Source organism: Homo sapiens, chromosome 6, assembly GCF_000001405.40.
Source record: "Homo sapiens chromosome 6, GRCh38.p14 Primary Assembly".
NCBI classification, from domain to species: Eukaryota; Metazoa; Chordata; class Mammalia; order Primates; family Hominidae; genus Homo; species Homo sapiens.
In genome coordinates, this window is record NC_000006.12 from 151,893,835 (window position 1) to 151,919,729 (window position 25,895).

Consider the following 25,895-nt stretch of genomic DNA (forward strand, 5'->3'; position numbering starts at 1 on the left):
GATCCCTGAGGGATATGGGAACCATAAAGGATCTTAAGCAGAGAAGTGACTTTCTTAATTTTGAACCTATCCTGGTGTTCTCATAGATTAGAGGAGAGAGATTTAGGAGTGAGGGATCAAGCAAGAAGGTGGCTCCACATTGTTTTCCATAGTAGTTGTACTAGTTTACATTCCCACCAGCAGTATAGAAATGTTCGCTTTTCACTACATCCACACCAACGTCTATTATTTTTTGATTTTTTGAAAATGGCCATTCTTGTGGGAGTAAGGTGGTATTGCATTGTGGTTTTGAGTTGCATTTCCCTGATCTTTGGTGATGTTGAGTATTTTTTCATATGTTTGTTGGCCACTTTGTATCTTCTTTTGAGAACTGTCTATTCATGTCCTTAGCCCACTTTTTGATGGGATTGTTTGTTTTTTTTCTTGCTAATTTGTTTGAGTTCCTTGTAGATTCTGGATCTTAATCCTTTGTTAGATGTATAGATTATGTCTCCTTCTCTGTGGGTTGTTTGTTTACTCTGCTGCTGCTCCTTTTGTGCAAAAGCTCTTTAGTTTAACTAAGTCCCACTTATTTATCTTTGTTTTTGTTGCATTTGCTTTTGGGTTTTTGGTCATAAAATCCTTGCCTAAGCCCATGTCTAGAAGGGTTTTTCTGACGTTAACTTCTAGAATTTTATGGTTCCAGGTCTTAGATTTAAGTCCTTGATCCATCTTGAGTTGATTTTTGTGTAAAGTGAGAGATGAAGATCCAGTTGCATTCTCCTACATGTGGTTTGGCAATTATCCCAGTACCATTTGTTGAATAGGGTGTCCTTTCCCCACTTTATGTTTTTGTTGGCTTTGGCAAAGAGCAGTTGGCTGTAAGTATTTGGGTTTATTTCTCGGTTCTCTACTCTGTTCCTTTGGTCTACATGCCTATTTTTATACCAGTACCATGCTGTTTCGGTGACTATGGCCTTATAGTATAGTTTGAAATCAGGTAATGTGATGCCTCCAGATTTGTTCTTTTTGCTTAGTCTTACTTTGGCTATGTGGGCTCTTTTTTGGTTCCATATTAATTTTAGGATTTTTTTTCTAGTTCTGTGAAGAATGATGGTGGTATTTTGATGGGAATTGCATTGAAGTTGTAGATTGCTTTTGGCAGTATGATCATTTTCACAATATTGATTCTACTCATCCATGAGCATGAGATGTGTTTCCATTTGTTTGTGTCATCTATGATTTATTTCTTTGAGAGGTGTTTTGTAGTTTTCTTTGTAGAGGTCCTTCACCTTCTTGGTTAGTTTTTGTTTTTTTTGGTTTTTTTTTTTTTTTGCAACTATTGTGAAAAGGAGTGAGTTCTTGATTTGATTCTCACCTTGGTTGCTGCTGTTGGTGTATAGCAGAGCTACTGATTTGTGTACATTAATTTTGTATCCTGAAACTCTGCTGAATTCATTAATCAGTTCTAGGAGCTTTTTGGGGGAGTCTTTAGGGTTTTCTAGTTATAAAATCATATCATCAGCAAACAGCGACAGTTTGAATTCCTCTTTACTAATTTGGATGTCCTTTATTTCTTTCTCTTGTCTGCTCCGGCTAGGACTTCTGGTACTGTGTTGAATAGTGAGAGTGGGCATCTTTGTTTTGTTCCAGTTCTCAGAGGAAATGCTTTCAACTTTTCCCCATTCAGTATTATGTTGGCTGTGGGTTTATCATAGATGCCTTTTATTACAGTGAGGTACCTTGTATACCGATTTTGCTGAAGGTTTTAATCATAAAGGGATGCTGGATTTTGTCAAATGCTTTTTCTGTATCTATTGCGATTATTGCGATGGTCATGCGATTTTTGTTTTTAATTTTGTTCAGGTGGTGTGTCACATTTATTGACTTGCATATGTTAAACCATCCCTGCATCCCTGGTATGAAACCCACTTGATCATTGTGGATTATCTTTTTGATATGCTGTTTGATTTGGTTAGCTAGTATTTCGTTAAGGATATTTTTTTGAGATGGAGTTTTGCTCTTGTTGCCCAGGCTGGAGTGTAGTGGCACTGCAACTTCCACTTTCTGGTTTCCAGCGATTCTCCTGCCTCAGCTCCCTGAGTCGCTAGGATTACAGGCACCTGCCACCACACCCAGCTAATTTTTGTATTTTTAGTAGAGATAGGGTTTCGCTATGTTGGCCAGGCGGGTCTTGAACTCCTGACCTCGTGATCCACCTGCCTTGGCCTCTCAAAGGACTCTCAAAGTGTTGGGATTACAGGCGTGAGCCACAGCGCCCGGCCAGATTTTTGCATCTATGTTCATTAGGAATATTGGCCTGTAGGTTTCTTTTTTTGTTTTGTTCTTTCTTGGTTTTGGTACAAGGGTGATACTGGCTTCATCGAATGATTTAGGGAGGATTCCCTCTTTCTTCATCTTGTGGAATAGTGTCAATAGGATTGGTACCAATTCTTCTTTGAGTGTCTGGTAGAATTCAGCTGTGAATTCATCTGGTCCTGGACTTTTTGTGTTGTTGGTAATTTTTAAATTACCATTTCAATCTTGCTGCTTGTTATTGGCCTGTTCAGGATTTCTAATTCTTCCTGACTTAAGCTAGGAGGTTTGTATCTTTCCAGGAATTTACCTATCTCTTCTAGGTTTTCTAGTTTATGTGTGTAAAGGTGTTCATAGTAGCCTTGAATGATCTTTTGTATTTCTGTGGGGTTGGTTGTAATATCTCCTGTTTGTTTCTAATTGAGCTTATTTGGACCTTCTCTCTTCTTTTCTTGGTTAATCTTGCTAATGGTCTATCAATTTCATTTATCTTTTCAAATAACCAGCTTCTTTTTGTTTCATTTATCTTTTGTATTTTTTTTTCAATTTCCTTTAGCTCTGCTCTGATCTTGGTATTTTCTTTCTTCTGCTGGCTTTGGGTTTCGTTTGTTTTTATTTCTGTAGTTCCTTGATTTGTGACCTTAGATTGTCTATTTGTGCTCTTTCAGAGTTTTTGAGTAGGCATTTAAGGCTGTGAACTTTCCTCTTCGCATTGCTTTTGCTGTATCCCAGAGGTTTGGATGGTTGTGTCACTATTATTGTTCAATTCGAAGAATTTTAAAATTTTCATCTTGATTTCATTGTTGACCCAATGATCATTCAGGAGCAGGTTATTTCACTTCCATGTATTTGCATGTTTTGGAAGGTTCCTTTTGGAGTCGATTTCCAGTTTTATTCCACTGTGGACTGAGAGAGTAGTTGACATAGTTTTAATTTTCTTAGTTTTTTTGACACTTGTTTGTGGCATATCATATGGTCTATCCTAGAGAAAGTTGCATACGCTGATGAATAGAATGTATATTCTGTGGTTGTTGGGTAGAATGTTATGTAAAGATCTGTTAAGTCCATTTGTTCCAGGGTACAATTTAAATCCATTGTTTCTTTGTTGACTTTCTGTCTTGATGACCTGTCTAGTATTGTCAGTGGAGTATTGAAGTCCCCCACTATTATTGTATTGCTGTCTGTCTCATTACTTAGGTGTAGTAGTAATTGTTCTATACATTTGGGAGTTCCAGTGTTAGGTGCATATATATTTAGGATTATGGTATTTTCCTTTTGGACAAGGCCTTTTATCATTATATAATGCTCTTCTTTGTCTTTTTTAACTGCTGTTGTTTTAAAGTTTGTTTTGTCTGATATAAGAATAGCTACTCCTACTTGCTTTTGGTGTCCATTTGCATGGAATGTCTTTTTCCACACCCTTACCTTAAGTTTATGTGAGTCCTTATGTGTTAGGTGAGTTTCTTGAAGGCAGCAGATACTTGGTTGGTGATTGCTTATCCATTCTGCAATTCTGTATCTTTTAAGTGGAGCATTTAGGCTATTTAAATTCAATGTTAGTATTGAGATGTGAGGTACTATTCTGTTCATCATGCCATTTGTTGCCTGTATACCTTGGATTTTTTTTAGTAGTATTTTTGTTTTATACCTCCAATGAGATTTACACATTAAGGAGGTTCTGTTTTGATGTGTTTCCAGCATTTGTTTCAAGATTTGGAGCTCCTTTTAGCAGTTCGTGTAGTCATGTAGTGCTGGCTTGGTAGTGGCGAATTCTCTTAGCGTTGTTTTTATCTGAAAAAGACTGTATCTGTCCTTCATTTAAGAAGCTTAGTTTTGCTGGATACAAAATTCTTGGCTGCTAATTGTTTTCTTTAAAGAAGCTGAAGATAGGGCCCCAATCCCTTCTAGTTTATAGGGTTTCTGCTGAGAAATCTGTTAACTTGATGGGTTTTCCTTTATAGGTTACCTGGTGCTTTTGCCTCACAGCTCTTAAGATTATTTTTCTTATCTTAACTTTAGATAACCTTATGACAATGTGCCTAGGCAATGATCTTTTTGTGATGAATTTTTCAGGTGTTATTTGAGCTTCTTGTATTTGGATGTCTAGGTCTCTAATAAGGCTAAGGAAGTTTTCCTCAATTATCCCCCCAGATATGTTTTCCAAACTTTTAGATTTCTCTTCTTTCTCAGGAACACCAATTATTCTTAGGTTTGGTTGTTTAATTCTGTCCCAAACTTCTTGGAGGTTTTGTTCATTTTTTTTTTTTTTTCTTTTCTTTTTTTTTTTTAATTGATCATTCTTGGGTGTTTCTCGCAGAGGGGGATTTGGCAGGATCACAGGACAATAGTGGAGGGAAGGTCAGCAGATAAACAAGTGCACAAAGGTCTCTGGTTTTCCTAGGCAGAGGACCCTGCGGCCTTCTGCAGTTTTTGTGTCCCTGGGTACTTGAGATTAGGGAGTGGTGATGACTCTTAACGAGCATGCTGCCTTCAAGCATCTGTTTAACAAAGCACATCTTGCACCGCCCTTAATCCATTCAACCCTGAGTGGATACACCACATGTTTCAGAGAGCACAGGGTTGGGGGTAAGGTCACAGATCAACAGGATCCCAAGGCAGAAGAATTTTTCTTAGTACAGAACAAAATGAAAAGTCTCCCACGTCTACCTCTTTCTACACAGACACGGCAACCATCCGATTTCTCAATCTTTTCCCCACCTTTCCCCCCTTTCTATTCCACAAAACTGCCATTGTCATCATGGCCCGTTCTCAATGAGCTGTTGGGCACACCTCCCAGACGGGGTGGTGGCCGGGCAGAGCGGCTCCTCACTTCCCAGTAGGGGCGGCCGGGCAGAGGCGCCCCTCACCTCCCGGACGGGGCGGCTGGCCGGGCGGGGGGCTGAACCCCCACCTCCCTCCCGGACGGGGCGGCTGGCCGGGTGGGGGGCTGACCCCCCCACCTCCCTCCCGGACGGGGCGGCTGGCCGGGCGGGGGGCTGACCCCCCCGCCTCCCTCCCGGACGGGGCGGCTGGCCGGGCAGAGGGGCTCCTCACTTCCCAGTAGGGGCAGCTGGGCAGAGGCGCCCCTCACCTCCCGGACTGGGCAGCTGGCCAGGCGGGGGGCTGAACCCCCACCTCCCTCCCGGACGGGGCGGCTGGCCGGGCGGGGGGCTGACCCCCCCACCTCCCTCCCGGACGGGGCGGCTGGCCAGGCGGGGGGCTGACCCCCCCACCTCCTTCCCGGACGGGGCGGCTGGCCGGGCAGAGGGGCTCCTCACTTCCCAGTAGGGGCGGCTGGGCAGAGGCGCCCCTCACCTCCCGGACTGGGCAGCTGGCCAGGCGGGGGGCTGACCCCCCCACCTCCCTCCCGGACGGGGCGGCTGGCCGGGCGGGGGGCTGACCCCCCCACCTCCCTCCCGGACGGGGCGGCTGGCCGGGCGGGGAGCTGACCCCCCCACCTCCCTCCCGGACGGGGTGGCTGCCGGGCGGAGACGCTCCTCACTTCCCAGACGGGGTGGCTGCCGGGCTGAGGGGCTCCTCACTTCTCAGACAGGGCGGTTGCCAGGCAGAGGGTCTCCTCACTTCTCAGACGGGGCGGCCCGGCAGAGACGCTCCTCACATCCCAGACGGGGCGGCAGGGCAGAGGCGCTCCCCACATCTCAGACGATGGGCGGCAGGGCAGAGACGCTCCTCACTTCCTAGATGGGATGGCGGCCGGGAAGAGGCGCTCCTCACTTCCTAGATGGGATGGCGGCTGGGCAGAGACACTCCTCACTTTCCAGACTGGGCAGCCAGGCAGAGGGGCTCCTCACATCCCAGACGATGGCGGCCAGGCAGAGACGCTCCTCACTTCCCAGACGGGGTGGCCCCGGGCAGAGGCTGCAATCTCGGCACTTTGGGAGGCCAAGGCAGGCTGCTGGGAGGTGGAGGTTGTAGCGAGCTGAGATCACGCCACTGCACTCCAGCCTGGGCACCATTGAGCACTGAGTGCGGTTTTGTTCATTTTTTAAATTCTTTTTTCTTTGTCTTTGTTGGATTGAGTTAATTTGAAAACCTTGTCTTTGAGCTCTGAAGTTCTTTCTTATGCTTGTTTTATTCTATTGCTGAGACTTTCAAGAACATTTTGCATTTCTCTAAGTGTGTCCTTCATTTCCTGAAGTTGTGATTGTTTTTTATTTATACTAACTATTTCACTGAAGATTTCTCCCCTCATTTCTTGTATCATTTTTTTGACTTCCTTAAATTGGACTTCACCTTTCTCTGGTGCCTCCTTAATTAGCTTAACAATCGACCTTCTGAATTCTTTTTCAGGTGACTCAGGGATTTCTTCTTGGCTTGGATCCATTGCTGGTGAGCTAGTGTGATTTTTTGAGGGGTATTAAAGAACCTTGTTTTGTCGTATTACTGGGATTGTTTTTCTGGTTCCTTCTCATTTGGTAGGCTATGTCTGAGGGAAGTACTAGGGCTCAAGGCTGCTGTTCAGATTCTTTTGTCCCACAGGTTGTTTTCTTGATGTAGTACTCTCCCCCTTTTCTTAGAGATGTGGCTTCCTGGGAACCGACCTGTAGTGACTGTTATTTCTCTTCTGGATCTAGCCATTCAGCAGGGCTACCAGGCTCCAGGCTAGTACTGGGGGCTGTCTGCTCAGAGTCCTGTGCTATGGGCTGTTTTCAGGTCTCACAGCGTTGGATTCCAGCACCTGCTCTGATAGAGGTGGCAGGGGAGTGAAATGGACTCTGCAGGGGTCCTTAGCTTTTGTTGTTTAATGCACTATTTTTGTGCTGGTTGGCCTCCTGCCAGGAGGTGGCACTTTCAAGACAGCGTCAGCTGTGGTAGTATAGGGAGGATCAGGCAGTGGCCAGGGCCTTAGAACTCCCAAGAGTATATGACCTTTGCCTTCAGCTACCAGGATGGATAGGGAATGACCATCAGGTGGGGCAAGGCTAGGACTGTCTGAGCTCAGACTCTCCTCGGGTGAGTCTTGCTGAGGCTGTGCTGTGGGGCAGGGGGGTGAGGTTCCCAGGTCAATGGAGTTATGTTCCCAGAGGATTATGGCTGCCTCTGCTGCGTCATGCAGGCTGTCAGGAATGTGGGGGAAAGCCGGCAGTTACAGGCCTCACCCAGCTCCCTTGCAACCCCCAAAACCGGTCTCACTCCTGTGCCCTACCAACAGCATCAAGTTTGTTTGCAGGCAGCGGATGAGCAAGGCTAAGAACTTGCCGCAGGCTACCAGCCTCCCAGCAAAGAATGTAAGTAGGGCTTTCATGCCTCCCTTCCTGTTGAATCTGTACACCAAATTCACTCCCTCCCCCAAGTTCTGGCCAGGTGACTTCATGTTTGGTTGGAATTGTTACAAAGTTCAGCTGGAGGTTTCCTTCTCGCTGTGGTCTTTTCCCAGTTCCTCTGGCCACCCTCCCCAAGGACCCCTGTGAGACAAGGTAGAAATGGCTTATTAGGGGACCCAGAGAGCCCACAGGGCTTTTCCCCTTGCTTTCTCTACCCTTTATTTCACTCAGCTGTCTAATTAAATCAGCTCCAGGTAAGTTCATATCCTTCTCCCATGATCTGGAGCTGCAGATTCCCCAGTGAGGGTGTGTGTTCGGGGGTGGGCTATCCCCCTTTCCTACTTTCACAGCTTGGGCACTCACAGTATTTGGGGTGTCTCCTGGGTCCTGTAGGAGCAAACTGCTTCCTTCACAGGGTCTGTGGATTCTCTTGGCTTTCCTGGTATATTCCTGTAGTAGTTCTGGAGCAGAAGTTTATGGTGTGAGTTTCCACACACTGCTCTGTTCATCCAAGTGAGAGCTGCAATCTAGTCCTGCCTCCTTTCCACCATTTTTTGGCCTTGACGTATTACATTTATTTTATGTTTGAAGTTTTGGCAGTTTTATTTTGAAAATTTTACATAACAAATGCCAAGCCAAATCCAAACTTCTTGGCCTAAATCATTTACAGATAACCTTTACTGAGCATTTACTACATGAAGGTGTTGTTGACACAGGGGATTTAAGATGTGATCACTGACCACAACATCCAGGCAACCTAAAAGTGAAAAGAGGTCATTCACAAAAAATAGGACCAAACTTCCTCCATTCCTCAAGGGACCTAGGACTGGAGTTGGCCTAAAAATTCCTGCTGTATCACCTCACCCACCAGTTTTGATCTTGCTCTCAGGGATCAAGGAAGCTCAAGGTTTCTGGCCCTTTTGGCTCATGTTCTTGGAGGTATATTCTATTGTCAAGTTAAAGTCGTACCCATCCTAGATCTGTTTCTCTCTCTTTGTGGTTCCAGTCTCATAGAAAACATAACTATGTGAAAACACCAACTACCCCATAAAGCTATTCTGAGACTCAAAGACATGAACTCTATTTTGATAATCACAAATTGATGTATAGATGTCAGATATCATTCATGTATTATGTAGCATTGTGGTTTAAGTCTTAGCTGTTGGAATCAGACTACTTGCATTCAAATTTTAGCTCTGTTGATAGGTGTGTAACCTTGAACAAGATACGTAACCTCTTCAGACCTTTGTCTCTTTGTTTGTCAAATAACGACAATAATAATACTAACTTAGTAAGTATGTATAAGGAGGCATGTAAAGCTTCTATTGTATTTGGCTTATGGTGAGCCCTTCATATAAATTGGTTACAATGGGTAATGAAAAGTACGTTCAATTTTTCCCACAAGGATTTAATCTAATCTCTAAATAAAATGCCAGTTTTAGTATACTGTCATCATTATAAGGAAACTATAATTCTTAAGTAATTAATTACTTTGGTTCCCTTTGGATAATTAGTGATACATAAAATGCAGTACCTTGCCCTGAGGAACCTACAAGTTAGCCTCCCTCTAATCCTGGCATTCAAAGTCCTCCACCTTCCGAATTACACCTGTTTTTTCAGGCATTGTCTCCCACTTTCCTAGCAAGCCTTTGGCTCCAGGAAACTGTTCTGTTCATTGACGACAGAATGTATTTTGTCCCGTATGCCTCCCTTCAATCTGAAGTTCATTTTTAGTAATTTTTTTTATTAGTAGTGACTTTCCCCATTTACTAATGCCTTTCTCTTTAGCTCATTTAGAATTCCCTGGAAGTCATCATGTTTTCCTTCTGAATTGCTATCATATTCTGTCTCTGTGTCTAATCAGAAAGTTAGGTGAGCTGCTGTCTCAGCTCCTGTGTTAATCCAGGTACTGAGCTCTTTGTACCCTGCCAGCTTGAGGGCAACTTGGATGCGCTGGTGTGTAGTGATTTGCAACTGTGAGAGAGCCGTTTCCATCAACAAGTGACAGCTTTTGGTTCTAAACACTGCTTGACCTCATTCTGGTTTGAACATATACTTTGGCCTCTGCCCTCTACCTCACCTCCAGTTCTGATCTTGGGCATGCCACAGAACCCCATCTACACTAGGCTTTCATTTTGGACTTCTAAGTCCTTTACTTGACCACTTATTTTCTTTAATTGCTAGACTTAATCATCCATGCATATGACAGCCACTCAGCTCTGACCCCAATACTTCATTGAGGCTCATGCCAGTCTGACCTCTCACAGGGAAGAGCACCCCTGCCGGTGAGCCCCTGGCCCTTGGATTATGCTGTCCCACCAGTGCCCAGCTGGCTGCTTGGCACTGCATGTGATGTATCTTTGTTTATTGATCGCTTAATTGAATGGGATATAGGATTATATTCCATGTTCCAGATCAAGTTGAGCCAAGCTGACAACTTAGTATTAAAAAAATATATTTATCTCCTATCTGTCCAATTAAAATTTTAATTTCTAGAGGTAGAGACAGTCACATTGCTATTTAATTCCTAGCACAGCAGTATTTTTGTCAATATTTGTTATTAGTGGTGAGTTTAAATTATAAAGGAAAAAAGAGAAGTGGTGATTTATGTCAGCGCTTGGCTAAACTATTCCCTTGATATAAGTCTATTATTCAGGTCACATAAGCATGACTGAAGTAATATCACAACCATAATATCATAATTATCTCTCTTGCTGTCTCTGTCACTTTCTCACTTTTGTTTGTGCATAGTGCATAGACCTGTAGAAAATTTATTAGTAATCTGAAGCATAAAACCAAATATTACAACTATCATAACAAATAAATAAAACTGTGCACTCCTTTAGGGAGTAGTAAAGCCATTTCTAAAATTAAGTCAAAGTAAGATTCCCTTATTATTGAGATATTTTAGTGGTATACACTATCATAAGTAAGATGAATAATTTTGTTAGCAGCTGACACTGCTATATAGATATTTATCTTGGGAAGTTCTCAGTGTAACATCTTTACTGTGTTTTTCTCTTTAGATTATACTTTTATGTTTATTATTTTGTTTCGTGGGGGATTCAAAAATATGCATTTTATGCCATACTTGGGGATTCCCTATAAATTATTAGTTGTAATATGACAGTTCCATCATGAATTTTCCAGGTATTCTTTTATGCAAGCAGATAATAGCTCATTTTGGTTTTTAACACATTCATGCATATTCTTTCTCTCTCAATAAATATGGTTTTAATTTATTAAATGAAAGATTTAAAAATGTGCTAAGCATTTTAATAATAATCGATTTTGGATTAACTTGTTATGTTTACTCTAGGGCTGTAGTTCACCATTTATTCAGTTAAGTCCTTCCCCAAATTCAATATTGAACATGTGGAATTGATTCGTTTCACGTGGATGTATCATTTACTCCCAAGATGTTGGTTTTTGGCATTTAGTACTGGTAATGGGCCAGGAAAGTGCTCATCTATATTTGTTGTTATTCACTGATTGCATCTTGCCCTTGCACCCACTGAGACGATGGGAAAGTAGCAACAATACTAGGTGATTTCTTTGATTTAAACCCAATTAAAAGAATTAGAGAGTTGTCTGATACAAGGCCAAAGAACTAAGAACAGAAACAAAAGCAAAACAACAAACAGCAGCACAAACTCCAGTGAGATAAATTTTTAAAACATTGGGAATATTTAAAAAATAAAAACACTCCAATGAACCACCCAGGTTTTATTAAAGAGTAGAGAACTCAAACAGCAGAAGGCAGAGCTGGTGGAGGAAACTCAGCAACTGCTCAGAAATGAAACAACCTAGGAAGGAGGTGCGAGTGACCTGAAACTCCTTTTAAAAACAGAAAGGACAAAAAGAGGTATGGGCTGACAAAAGGAAAGTGGTAGATTACTGATGTATTGCATTATGCTTAGAATGTCTCAGAATGCGAGAGGCAGTAAACACACCAGAAGAGGATACAATATCCGGACCATGTGCAACTGCAAATAAATGTTTGGGTTAAAACTTGGTTGATTCTAAATTACATGAAGAGCTGATGATAATTGAGGCAGAACTGATAGACCTAACAATAGAAAAAAATCGATTTAAATTCAGAGAAGAGGTCATTTAAGAAAGTATAATGAAGCCACTTAATAAAAGGAAATATTCCTCTAACTAAAGTTTGAGATTTAGGGCATAATCCTCAAAGACAGGCTAATATAATCTATTTTTTGATTAAAAAAAGGAACTTTTGGTTTAAAGTAAGATGTTCAGCTGCTCTTAGAGTTTATTTCTCCATATTTGGGCATATAAGAATTTAAGGAAAAATATAGAAATATAAGAAAGATTTCATGAGAATCACAAGCATAGTTTATAGGCAAGATAGCCTTTTCTGTTTGAAAGCGAAAAATACTATTTCAACATGTAAAAACCTAAGTCAGTTTTCACTGGCATGTCCCACAATCATGCCTGAAATAATGGTTGAAGACAGATGTGAGACATTTCAAGGGCAATAGATTAATACATGAAACCCACTTATGCCTAGCGTTCCATTATTGGAACGCTAAGCATGTGGGAGTTATTTATATCCTATTGCTCAAGGTCATCTCCAAGGTCTGAGTTTTCACTCATGCAAAAATTCAAAAAATTGCAACCTCGGCGTAAATGGGTTAACAAAAAGTTAATGCTGGACAGTAAAATAAACTACTAAATTAGACACACCATATTTTTTAAATTATAAGAGATTAAGAACTATGAGATATTTAAAAAGCCACCCACAGAAGTAGTAGGACAGGTAGAGAAGGATAAATTCTAACAATCAACTGTATCTCCACCCCACCTTGTAAATGACAAATTAGTTTACTTAGTCAATTCAGGAAATTAAACGTATACATTTTGTGTTAAAACAGAAGACTTTTTTTAAAAAAGTGTGTTAGTTAAGGTTAATTTTGACCTAGTTAAGAAAAAGCAGTTTAGAGTCTTGAAATGGAAATGAGAAATACATAATTACCCTTAAAAATAAGTTGATAGTGAATTTTATCTAGGATTCTTAAGACATTTTTAATATTTAATGAAAATGAACTACACAATTATTAAAAAATAGTTGCCTGGGTTTAGAAAAATGATCCCTTAATAAGACATATACAACAGCCTGAATTTTTATTTCCAAATACTATAGCAACAAAATACCGGCAAGAAAAATGCACAGAAACATTGGATAGTCTCTTCTTACTAATCTTTTACAGATATTTATATATTCTGAATTCTAACTTTTAATTTATTTTATGTATTATAAATGTCATCTAGTATGCAGCTTGACTTTGCTTTATGGTATCATCTGTTTCACAGAAAATTTTAAGTTGTGGAATTTATCGTATTTTTTCTTTATAGTTTGTGCTTTAAGACCTGTCTAATAAATCTTTCCTTCCCTGGACGCTATAAAGTTATTTGTCTATATTCTGTTAAAAGGAATAAAACTTTGCTTTTTTTCACATTTTGTTACTTATTTCACCTGAAAGAGAATTTTGTTTATTATGTGAGGTAGGAATATAACTTAATTTTTTTCCATTGAATAACCAAATTGTCCCAGAGCAATTAAGCAATACATTCTTTCCCTGTTGATCTGTGAAGCTACCTCCATTAGGCATGAAGTTGTCCTGTTGAAGAGAATCTGATTCTGAGCTCTCTTCACTATTTCTTTATTTGTCTATGTCTACACTAAAAGCAATTTAATTTCTGTGTCTTTATAATTACTTTGACTTTATAATCCTTGAAAGGGACTTTGTTCTTCTTCAAAATTGTTTTGGCTATTTATGGCTACTTTTGCTTTCAAATGAGTTTTTAAATCAAACTTTAATGAGATTGCATTAAACTTATAAATTAATCTGAGGAGGATTGACATCTTCATGATATTTAGTCTTCCTACCCATTAACATTATATAACTCTCCATTTATTTTAGGTCTTTTTGAATGACTTCTAATAAAGTTTTTCAATTTTCTCCAAAATATCTTACATATTAAAATTTACTCATAGCTGTCTCATCTTACTGATATTTTAAAGACATATCTTTTTAAAAATTATATTATTAAATTGTTTCAGGTATGTCTTTTTTTTTGAAGTTTTACAAATTTGGGATTATACTGCCTCTTCATTCAACATTTTCCCATGCTGTTGGGGATCCTTCAAGTCAAAATTATTAGAGGAGCTGCATTAATATTCCAGCATGGACATACTATAATTTATTTAATTATTTCCCGAATTGTATGTTTTTGTTTCTAACTTCACAGTTTTCAACATGACTGGGAACAGCTTTTCTTGCTAAATCCTTGCACGCCACAGTAATTATCTCACTGGGCCAAAAGATAGGTACTTTTTCATGACTTTCGCCATATATTGTCAAAATGGAACCAATGGTGATTTGTTCAGAAATCATGGTACATCATATAAAAAGATTACTCTGCAAGCATCACAAACTGTGATATATAGAAATGTGTTTATTGACATGAAATAGATCATGAAGAAAGTGATTACAAATGGTATTTAAGCATTTTAAGTTATATAGGCTTATACTGAGCAATAACAAAGAGGGTGAATAAATGAATGAATATGTGATTCTGGAAGGGTATGTAACAAAAGGTTAACAATGGTTAGCCCTGGGTAAGGGGATTATGTATGACTTTTATTTCCTTCTTTTTTTCTTCCTTTCCCCTTATGTTTTTAACAATGTACATGAATCGTTTATGAATAAAATAAAAAACTTTGATATTCTTATATAGGTTTAGTAGGATAACATTTCTCCTTCATTTCTTTCATTTTTAGAAATCTTTCTTCACGGAAATTCTTTTTTTTAAATGTTTATTTCTGTCTTTGAGGAGTGAGATTGACTGGCTATCTTTTAATACCTGTGTGTATTATCATTATTGTATCTTGCTGATAAATTTCACAACAGTTAATTATTTTATTCCCCATTTCATACTTAGCTCTATTTTAGGCAAGTTCACAAATATCATTGAATGAGTTCATTCAATGTCATCATGATGATATTGAAATGTCAATAGCAGATGACTTGTTTCTGGGGTGTTAATATGCCTGTTGGTTACATTTGTGTTTTTTGGTGATGGAAGGCAGCCACTGAGGCAAACAGCAAGAATACAGCTAAGCCTCTAACTGCATACTCTTCTCACTCGTTGCTTAAAACTGAAGCGTGGATAATTGGTGTGCATTCCCTAAAAAGTTATGTCATGATGCAGTAGAGAAATAAGTTAACTTTCCTATCCCTGTATCAAAGTTTCTTTTGAAGGTAACTGAGACAGCGCCAAATAAGGAGCAGAGTTTCTGTGAATCATGAAATCTTTCTAAACAATTGAGAAAAAAAAAACTGTTCTGAAACAAAAACTTGTGCCCTATCCTTTTATTTGAATGTGTTTTCTTAAGGCCACAACTGGCAGAGATTTGATGATTTTATGTTTAAAGCAATTTTTTTTTTTTTTCATAGCAAGGAGTCCCACTGCCATCAGGTTTTGTTTTTGGAGAGATTCTGTAACTGACATAGGGTAACTTACTCTGATGGCTTGCTCCACATTCACTACAAGTACATACTGTTCTGAAAAATCTCAAAGTTGAAATATTTTTATTTGGGCAACTTCTGCAATCAAGGTAATTCACTCTATCTTTGGAGAATAAAATGGAAAAGGGCAACCCAATCTCTGTGACCTTAAACTTCCACTGAAACTTAGAGACGGTTAGCTTAGCTGGTGAGAGCGTGCTGCTAATAACACCAAGGTCGTGGTTTCTATCCCATTACAGGGCAGTCAAGCTCAAGGGAAAAACCCTGTTCTTTGGCACAGCTTCCATGGCCTGCTAGCCGTTTACAGCGAGGCAAAAGAGTAGAGATGTTTTAGTGAACTAGGCCATGACTTGGGGAGTCTCCACCTTGAATCTGGTTGTGGGACCAAGGAAGAGAATCTGCTGAGGCTGGGTAGAGAGACTCTAGAGCACCTTAGGCCACAGGACAGCAGAGGATGAGAATAACAGAACTGGCTTCAGAAAGTAGGTGTCAGTCCAAGGCACTGTATTCAATACATGTAGCAAAGAATGAGCTTCTGACACCAGGAAAGTCTTCAGATGGCAGTGACTGCATAAACCGGTGTCAGGATGTCTGACTATAAAGGATGGGACACCTTCCATCAGGTGAGAGCTCTGGAGGTGGAGTCTGTTCCTGGAAGAAGCATGGGTAAATGTCATCAAAGGTTCCCTCAGCCACCACTGGGTTCAGGGCTGAGGTGCACCTAGGAAGGCTTGGGCAGAAGCATGACCCCTGGAACTTGGCCAACTGAGCCATCAGAGAGTGGTGCAGGTGAGGAGTGGTAGATGTGTAGTGAACCACTCAGCTGTCTGCCCAGGCCTTGGGTGTGGAAGTAGAGTCTTCTGTGTCTTTGGGCAGACTGAATTATAAGCTTCACCAGATCGCCAAGCTAGGAATGTTGACATACCTGGCTTGGGGTCAGGGAGGGACTGAACTGTAGGTGGGGGGCCCCAACAAATCTAATCATAAGAATCTATGAGCGTGGAGACAGAAGGACCAAAGAAGGGATGCTGTAACCAATTATCATTATTGAAAAACTAGGCAGAGATTACATTCAATTGGCAGTACCACCCTTTTTATCTCTGACATAGTTCCAGAAGGATATACTATGTATCTAGTGTGACACTGTCTGATAGAATTGTCTGAAATGATGGAAGTGTTCTGTGGCTACCCATTTTGATAGCCACTAGCCACAGGTGGCTATTGAGCACTTGATATGTTGTTGGTGTGACTGAGGAACTAAATTTTTAATTCAATTTAAATTAAATTTAATTTAAATTTAAGTAGCAACATGTGGCTGGTGGTTACTGGATTGAACCGAACAGATCTAGATACTAGAGTAAGTGGTAGCAGCAAATCCTATATTGGAACAATGTAAATTAACAATTATAAATATATGAGCAGGACAAAGCCCAAATGGGCCTGTACTCTTAGTTTTGCTATATATTCAACCATAACTAGCACTCATTTTTTAAACTTATAAAATGCAAACTCATTTGGTTGTGATGATGAATGCTCAGGTAATTGTTGAGTTTCAACACAGTGACAGCCAGGAACTCATTTTGGAGACTTGGATTGTGCCACAGTTTGTCCCTCTATAAAATGATGATGAAAATTTTATCAGTATCTGTCTCAAGCTGTAGTTAATGGGCCAATTTCTAAATATTCCTGTCAAATTGTATAGCCATTGTTTTCAAAGTAGTTTTGAAAGTAGGCCATTGGTAAAGCAATCTATTAAAGTGCAGGAAGAAAGTAATAGAATCTCTTACTTTTTAAAGTCTCATTATGAAAATTATATTTCAGTTTGTATGCCTTCGATGTACATAATATATTAATACACAAATATATTAATGCAGCGGTCCCCAAACTTTTTCTCACCAGGGACTGGTTTCCTGGACGACAGTATTTCCATGGATTGCAGCGGGGATGGTTTCAGGATGAAACTGACCCACCTCAGATCATCAGGCATTATTAGGTTCTCATAAGGAGCACACAGCCTTGAGCAGGTGCAGTTCACATATAGGGTTTGCGCACCTATGAGAATCTAATGCTGCCGCTGATCTGACAGGAAATGGGGCTCAGGCAGTAATGCTCGCTCACTGCTCACCTCCTGCTGTGTGGCCCAGTTCCTAACAGGCCATGAACTGGTACCAGTCTGTGGCCTGGGGGCTGGGGAGTCCTGCATTAATGTAATTAAATATGTACATTTCTTGAGAGTGTTTGTTCAAATATTTTTTCCTAATAGAGACGTATAACTTAGAAAGTATGGAACCCTCTGGTCAGTAGCATATTTTATCAAAAAGGCTATCCGTCGTGCTAACCAATGTGATTAAATGTTCATTTTAGTCTCAGATATTTTGATAACATAATAATAGGGAAGTTATGGTTATTGCATGGCTTTTCTTTACTGTATTTTCAATAACTATATTAATGGGTTCAGTTGTTACTAGTTTTATAATTCTGTTTTATTCTCAATGAGTCTTCCTGTTTCTCCCCACGTCTTTCCTATGGTTCATTTCCCTGCATCTTTACAGCTCCCTGGAACATTCTCTCAAATCAATCAGAGGCTTCAAAACTGGGCAGTCTCATTTTGTAACCTGCTCTGACTCGCCTCTGGGAGGCCTCCCTCCCCACTCACAGCTGCCTTCCTGCATGATGTAAAATGAATACAGTGCCAGAAAGACTGATCCTTGGAACCTCTTCCTTACTTAGTTTCTTTATAGTTCTGATTTTAGAAATGACCATTTTACTTCCAGTGCCCTTCCCCACACCAGTTAGCTGAGACTCTATGCAGGAAGTTCCCAGTGATCAGAACTGTTCCCATAGCTCCCAGGTGATTCTGACATGCACCCGGCATTGAGCACCATGGACATGGCTGCTGTTTGTTATCCTCGAGCTCTGCAAAGCAGTGTCGGATATTGCTTGATTGTTGCACATTAATCTACTGCACGGTCCGGTAGGTAGCCACTAGCCACATGTGGCCATTTAGATGTAAATGAATTTAAATTAAATAGTATTATAAGTTCAACACCTCAGTTGCACTCTCTGTATTCAAGTGCTCAGTAGCTACAAGTGGTTGGTGGCTACCATTTTGGGCAGTGCTACTATACAACATTTCTATCACCACAGAGAGTGCTGATGAATAATAGTACTAACAACTGGAAACATTGAAATGGAGAGGTGAAGGAGAGAAGGCAGAATATAAGAGAAACTTCAAAGCATTCAGCGTGTCTGATAGGCGCTGTATCTTACATTATGTTTGGAGCATAGTTTTTGAATTTCTTAATTTTCAAATTCGGTTGAAACAGATTTTGGTCAATTGAAGTGAAGGACTATGCCTGCTTTAATTTGCGTAGCTTACCTTTGTTTCACGTGTCTCCCTTATTACAGTGTTTGTAGCAGCATCTAACTCAATCCCTAACTTCTTTTTGGTGCAGGGACCATTTAAAAACAATTTGATCATAGAGGTTATCTCCTTTGCAATCCATATTGTTTTATGGAACAGGTGAACAGCTGGTGACAATAGCCTCAAGGTTTCTAATCCCACCAAAGGAAAATATGGTGTCAGTAATTACCTTGTACTATGATATTTGTGAAATCCAAGAGAGGGCTAGATCTCAGGCTCTAATAATACATCCGTATAAACATCTCAGTAGGGCACCACGGAAGAGTCTTAGGATATCAGGAACAATAAGAGCGGGAGAATATCGACCTTAATATTCTTTACACTTATTAAAAAGTGAAAAGACAGCCATAAAGCAGAATGAGTTCCTGTCCTTTGCAGGGACATGGATGAAGCCAGAAGCCATCATTCTCAGCAAACTAACACAGGAACAGAAAACCAAACACCTCATGTTCGCACTCATAAGTGGGAGTTGAACAATGAGAACACATGGACACAGGGAGTGGAGCATCACACAACGGGGCCTGTCGGGAGTTGGGGGACTAGGGGAGGGAGAGCATTAGGACAAATACCTAATGCATGTGGGGCTTAAAACCTAGATGACGGGTTGATAGGTGTAGCAAACCACCATGGCACATGTATACCTATGTAACAAACCTGCACGTTCTGCACATATATCCCAGAACTAAAAGTAAAATAAATGAAAAAGAAATAAAAAATAATAAAATAAAATAAAATAAATGAAAAGTAGCCATTTTACCAGTTGAGTATTTACTGACTTTTGGTGAAAATCACTTTCTAAGATTACTAGAAACCTTATGACCCTCGGCCTCTACTCCCACCACGTGCGGATTTTCACCTCCACCTACTTTGTCACGTCACATGCCCTTCTGCTCTTTAGGACACTTGTATTGGGTTCCTCCCCCACACGTAAACAGAACACACAGGTCTGTGAATGGACCTCATTATGCTCATTTGTCTTTGCCAAGAACTATTGAAAATGATCACAAATGACTATGTAATTATAATTAAGATTTTGTACATGCATACACTTTATTTTTAACAAGTTTGTCCTGTTAAATGTCACCCCATTTTGAATAGTAACATTCACTGGTGCAAGGAAGAATTATTAAAATGACAATTTAACTGATATCCTTGACAGGTAAGCCAGTTATTGTATTTCATAATTGTGATTATTACAATACCTATGAAGATTAATTAGGACAATTTATTCTATAGGACTTGGTTATCAAAATGATCTTTTTTCCCATTTTAGTCCATACATCTTCAGTTTTAATTTCCTTCTTCCAAAGAACTCTGAGTCTTGCCCAGTGTGATACTTCAGATTTTGTAAAAATATAATGAAGAAGAATAACATGTATCAGATCTTTTTTTTAATGTACTGGGCTAAAAATTATAAGCACCATCAAATTACTAGAAAATTCTTTTAACACTCTGCTTCTTAGTTAAAAAATGATTCCTTTTTGTGATAATCTTATAATTTTCAAAGTATCATTTTAGAAATTTTAAAAAATTATTCTTGTTTTCATTCAGTCCATTTCATCAGAACTTAGATTTTTTCTTCCCTCTACAGTATGTGGTCTTGATGTGCTTTCTCCTTGCAAAATAAAATCTTTAGTTTCAGGATCTCTGTGTTCTATTCCTTCAATTTAAAATCATAGGAAAAATAACTATCATTTCCTTATGTCTGTCTCCAATTCCCCCATCATTTTCTGTGAGCCAATTTTCTTCTTTTTCTTCTGTCTACTGTAAGGAACTTTTTACTCTGCTCTATTCTCTGCAATTCAGGGCTCACAATTTCTTTGACTTCTCAGATTATCCTTTGTACTTGTGTCTACTTTTTCATTAAAAAAAAAAAGGCTTCGGTCTTATTTTGACTTTATCATCTTTATATTGCCATATTTAAAACCCATCTGCTTATTGATTGAACCAAACTTTTCATCTTACTTCATCATACTGAATGTATAACTTCTGAATGACTTAAAAATCATCACATAATGTGAGAGAATTTTCTATCATATTCAGGTGACTGCATTGTAAGCAATGAAGTTGAAGAAAAATAGCTTATAATGGATATAATACCAAGAAATAATAAGAATGAGAATCTGCGTATATCATATACTGGGTTAACAAGCTCACAAGGCAAATCACCATTTTATTAGATATTTAACAAATCATACTAGTACTGGAGGAAGTATAGCAGAAAAAAGGAGTATGGACATTGGGATTAGCTGCCTTGCTAATCTTTTGTCAGTCCCTAGTGACATGCTTTTGGGTTGAGTCATTGTTACCTCCCTGAGCTGTTTGTTTATAAAATGGGGGTAAATATCTCAGATGTTTCAGTGTTGTGACATATAAAGCGTCCTCCATAGTACATAATACCGTAAGCACTCCATAAGGTAATTCTTGTCCTTTTAAAAAGTATACACTTTTGAGTTCAGGACACGTACACTGTAACCTAGTTGTAACCATTTTAATAAAAGAAGGTTTTGATCATTTTTGATAAATGTACTACATGAATAGTTAACTTGCCTTTCACTTCCTATACCAACGGAAATTTTGGTAACAAATTTAAAGAAAGCATTAGGTTGAATATCCCATCTGATTAAATGTCAACTAAATATTGTTTCTGGCTTTTAAAATATTTCTAATTCAGTTATAAAACAGGTCTATTACTCAGGAGGCTGAGGCAGGAAAATTGCTTGAACCAGGGAGTCGGAGGTTGCAGTGAGCCGAGATCATGCCATTGCACTCCAGCCTGGCGACAGAGTGAGATTCCGTCTCAAAAAAAAAAAAGGTGAAATGAAAAACAAAAAAGAGGGGTGAAATTTCTCTGCATTCTCCCTTTCTGCTGTTGGGAAAGCCCTTTCATTACCAAGAATGCATGGAATTCTGCTTATTAATTTCTCCATCTATGTGTCTCTGTGAAAAATACTAATTATTTACAATTTTGTAAGCTATGAATAAGGTCTATGTTTTCTCTGAAATTATAGCAACAGGAGCATTTCCCCCTTATTTGGGCCGCAATCTTTTCATTCTGATTCTTACCATAACTTCTGACTTCTGACTTTATCATGTCTTCTGATTTCTACTAAACATGAACAGAATGAATGACTTCTAGAAATGGATACAGGTGTAATACATATAAGGCCAGGGAACCACTTAATTATCTTTACAAAGTACTAGGACTTCAGAAAAATCAAATGATGAAATGGAGCTAGCTTTAGTATGTTCTACTTATCATTGGACTATTAATCATGTCTGTCTGATGAGTTACCTAGGACTTCAACTGTTTTTATAGATTTAAAGAAAATATTATAAATGTATCTTACCTGGATTTAAGACTGGACAGCTGATTTTGGATTTTTTTCTGCTACCCTGTTGTTGATATCACTGACATCAGCCTTTGCATTTTGACTGGAGGCTCCTTTCTCTCTTTCTCTCTCTCTCTCTCTCTCTCTATAGGAAACCAGTAGTTATGTCAGGTTGCTAAGTATTTTCCCACTGAAGGACAAATATTCTGGAGCAGTATATATTTAGCATTTGACATTTGATAAACAAGCTTGTTTGAGATATTTTCAATACAATTTCAGCTTTGGCAATTGTAAGCAAAGGATCCAGTTGGTAATTGGTGAAATGAACAGATGTGGACACGCTGCCTGCATCGAGATGCATTAATTTTTCTGAAAAGTGGATAAGATCTTGTGAGAATGAATAATGGAATTCAAATCAGATGGGGTGAGATATTTGATATTCAGGAACAAATCACAGTATAATAGATCTGCTACTTTGTTTGGTTTTAATGGGGAGTTGCTAATGCTGAAATATAGTCAGAGAAAAGGAACGTGGAATTTCTATAGAGGAGAGCCTGGCTCTGGGGTAATACTACTGTCCTTGGTGGAATGTTGTCTTTTCTGAAGACATTGGTTCAATTCAATACATGAAACATTCATCGATTATTATTTAGAAAAGCTAATCTACTGACAAGACACAGAGTTAAGTAGTGAAAATACAGAGACCTAGACACAGTTCTTATTAAGAAATTTTTTAATTTAGGTGGCATATTTCAGAGAGAAATTCTCTGCTTGGGGCAATAGGTACCTCCTTTGGAATAAGCATGGTGAGAAAGAATTGCTTCTGGCAGATTAGTGAGAAGAGTGAGATATTTTCTTTCGATGACCTCTCTATTAAAATTTGAGTGGTAAAACTTTGTGATGATTCAGGCTCTTCATAATTCTTAATTTTATCATCCTCTAATACCAGGACTTGCCCAGATCAATATTTTAGGAAACAGTCATGCTTGCTAAACCCAGGGATTTCTATTAACCACTAGATAAGACATAAGTTTGTCATGCAACAAGTATTTATTGAGTCCATAATTTGCCCAGCACTGGGCTTTGGTACTCTGGGCCTTGATACTCTAGGTTGTGTCAGAGATGTCTAATATATTTAAGGTGACAGAGTTCACAAATGAGACTTTATGAAAATGAATATCCCTTTTTAAGTCTCGAGAAATATGATGTGCACCCGCTTGAGGCTTTATTAAATCTCCAGCGAGCATGAACTTGTTTGTGACCCAATTGTAGAATTGTTGTATGATGACTATCCCACTGGCAGGCACTTCTTGTCCAAGAGAATGTAATTGGATGTTGGTGACTCAAGCAATCCTGGGAAGACTCCTCCATGACCAAATTAAAGACAACAGGGGCTTGGTTTGTACTCAGCTCTACACCAATCAGCATGAGACAAAGAAGAGATCCATGGCAAAGTGGGGAGACTACTGTTTATTTTACAAGCTAGAGAAGGAAAACTGCAGTTCCTGAGTTGCAAAACTGCTAAGAAATGGGAGAACACAGAACTTTACAGGCTGAACCTTGGTGTCTTAGTTATTCCTCTTGGCTACAGAATGCCAACCAGTAGGAGATTCATCACTGAGATATTACAGGGAAATGAAGCCAGGCAAGAAAAATATGTATTCCCTTTCTTCTCAGCCCATAAATTTTGTTATTAATAAATCAGACTCTTATAGAACAGCTTGCCACGGCTGTCTCTAGAAATGTTTTTATTAGCAGAATTTTTATTAAAATAAAATACACAGTAGTTTTAAGAGTGAACATTATAGTTTTAGGTCATAAGGGGTGTCATGGAGAACACATGTGGATGCTACTTGCCAGTTACTTGATCTAGGCCTTGACTCTTGGTTTTCTGTTGCTCGGATAAGTTAGCATGATTTGACATGCAGTTAAAGGTGTGGTAACCTGTGATTGATTTCCCATTCTTGATGCTCCCTGCCTGGACTTCTCGGAAAATTTCAAAACAATTCATTCTTCTATGAGGGCTGCCTCCTTGGTTGCTTCGGCTAAACAGTGTTGAGCAACAAGTTGGGAAAGGAACGTTGCAGTAACTTTTAAAAATTAAGTTAGAAACAAATGTCATCAAAGTAAATGATAATTTGCCAATATGATTGAGCAAAAAGATGAAGATGCACGCTCCCTACGTATTTGCTTTGCAGAAGAATTAATTTGAAAAATAATAACATATTTTAAAATGAATTGTAAATATAAACACATGCTAATTGCAGAGGGGAATCCCTGTGATTATTCAGCAGTTTGTGTTTGTCAAGTGCTTTTCAGTCAGTCCATTCCAGCTCAGCAGGGCAGAGGCTTGGGCTGTTGTAAACTTGTGGGCAGATACCCAGTGATGGGGCAGACATGAGCAGGTAGGGCTGACAGCATGTGAATTGAGTTTTCTTCAGTCATGCTGTTGCAGCTGCTCCCTTCCCTCATTGCTGAGTTTGCCACAGCAGGTAGGAACCTAACTCTGGAGCCTGGGATGAAGGAGAACCCACATTGGGCTTGAGGAACAAGATCTGCCACCCTGGTAGGCCCTGGTTAAATCTCATGCAAGTGTAGCAATGAGAGAGGGTATGATTGAGTTCTAATTTAGGAGGAAAGGGGATAATGTGCCCTTTGCACCCCCAGGAGAAATCATTGCTCATCTGTGCCTAAGTAGACTTATCAAGGGCAGTTGGTTCACAATGGTGTATCACCCCAAAGGACTATAGTGTTATGAGAACTTGCCAGTGTATTTGAATTTGGGTGCTGGCAGATGACATCATGAGGTATTATGGTTACCCATAAATATGCTAGTTTATTGAGAAGGTGGTAGACATGCTAGTGGATGAGAGGGAAGGACAGAAGCAGTTAGTAAACAGCATCTGCAACAATTCAGTTAACTGGTGGTTGTCACAGTAGCATGGTGGAAAAGTTGGCAATTAATAACTTCTAAGAAAACTGAACTAATGAACCAATCCTGCGTGTGCTATGTGTATAACCTCCTTCTCACTATTAACAGATTTGTTCCAAACTTATATAAGACAATGAAAATAAAGCTTGGCAATATAGGGAAGGGATGGAGGGATAAAGCTGTAAATCACGTCACAGGCAAATTAAGATATACCACTGGATCAAGGGATTTAATGCAGAAAGACTGATCCTAACTTATTTCTTTTATTTAGCAATAAGATTTGTTACTTACATTGATTATTTAAAATGAGTTGCATTATTAGAAAGGACTATTTTGAAGACAACTATAATAAAATGTCAGTAACTGATAGTAGCCAAGATATTTTAAATATATCAAAGTTGTGTCATTAATATTAATGTGTCCCTTAATATGAAGTCCTGCCCAGGCTTATTTATGTATTCAACAGACACATACCTGTTGAAGTGTAACAGATATTCTGGACACAAGCAATGGTAAACAAGACAGATGCAGTCCCTGCTTTCATGCAATTTGCAATTGAATGGTCTTTGACATTTTATTGTGATTGTTTTAGTTATTTAATTGGAGAAGTTTTTAATTTAAATTTGTGTTATATTCAGTGTTAAGGAACAAAAATGTAATGTGCATTTCTGAGACTCAGTAACACTTCTGGTTTTTCCTTTTTCATTTAAAGAAAAATTTAGTGCCCAAGATAAGCTAGAATTTTTGGAATCAAGTAATTGATGACCTGGGAGCCAATTTTATTACAATAGTGTTTTTAGTGGTCTTAGAACTTTTCAGAGGTGGTAGCTCTGAAAATAACACTGTAATAAATTCACACATACATCTATCATCCAATAAATGTTAATTGAGGCCCACTACAGCATTGTGTTAGATTCTGAGGTTACAAATTGTTGACCCCATGTCGAACATGTTGACCCCATCAATGTAATCAGTTTGACATTACACAGTCATTTAAACATTAAAGTGTCAGCGGATATTTTAGTTGTAATTTTGATAAGTGCTCTGAAGGAGAAAACAGTGGGTGTTGTGAAA

The 25,895-nt window shown here is 39.2% G+C and overlaps 1 protein-coding gene across 31 annotated transcripts in view, besides 1 other annotated feature; it reads left to right on the forward strand.

Annotated features, from left to right (window-relative positions):
* ESR1 (estrogen receptor 1) overlaps nt 1–25,895 on the forward strand; it is a 472,948-nt gene that overhangs the window by 237,163 nt on the left and 209,890 nt on the right. The gene's annotated exons all lie outside the window — the stretch shown is intronic.
* Nucleotides 6,597–7,796: an enhancer, noted in NCBI's record as "MED14-independent group 3 enhancer chr6:152221566-152222765 (GRCh37/hg19 assembly coordinates)". NCBI's record gives its function as "activates an origin of replication core promoter dependent on BRD2, BRD4, P300/CBP and CDK7 cofactors, and independent of MED14, by STARR-seq in HCT116 cells {active_cell/tissue: HCT116}" and the evidence as "EXISTENCE:reporter gene assay evidence [ECO:0000049][PMID:35650434]".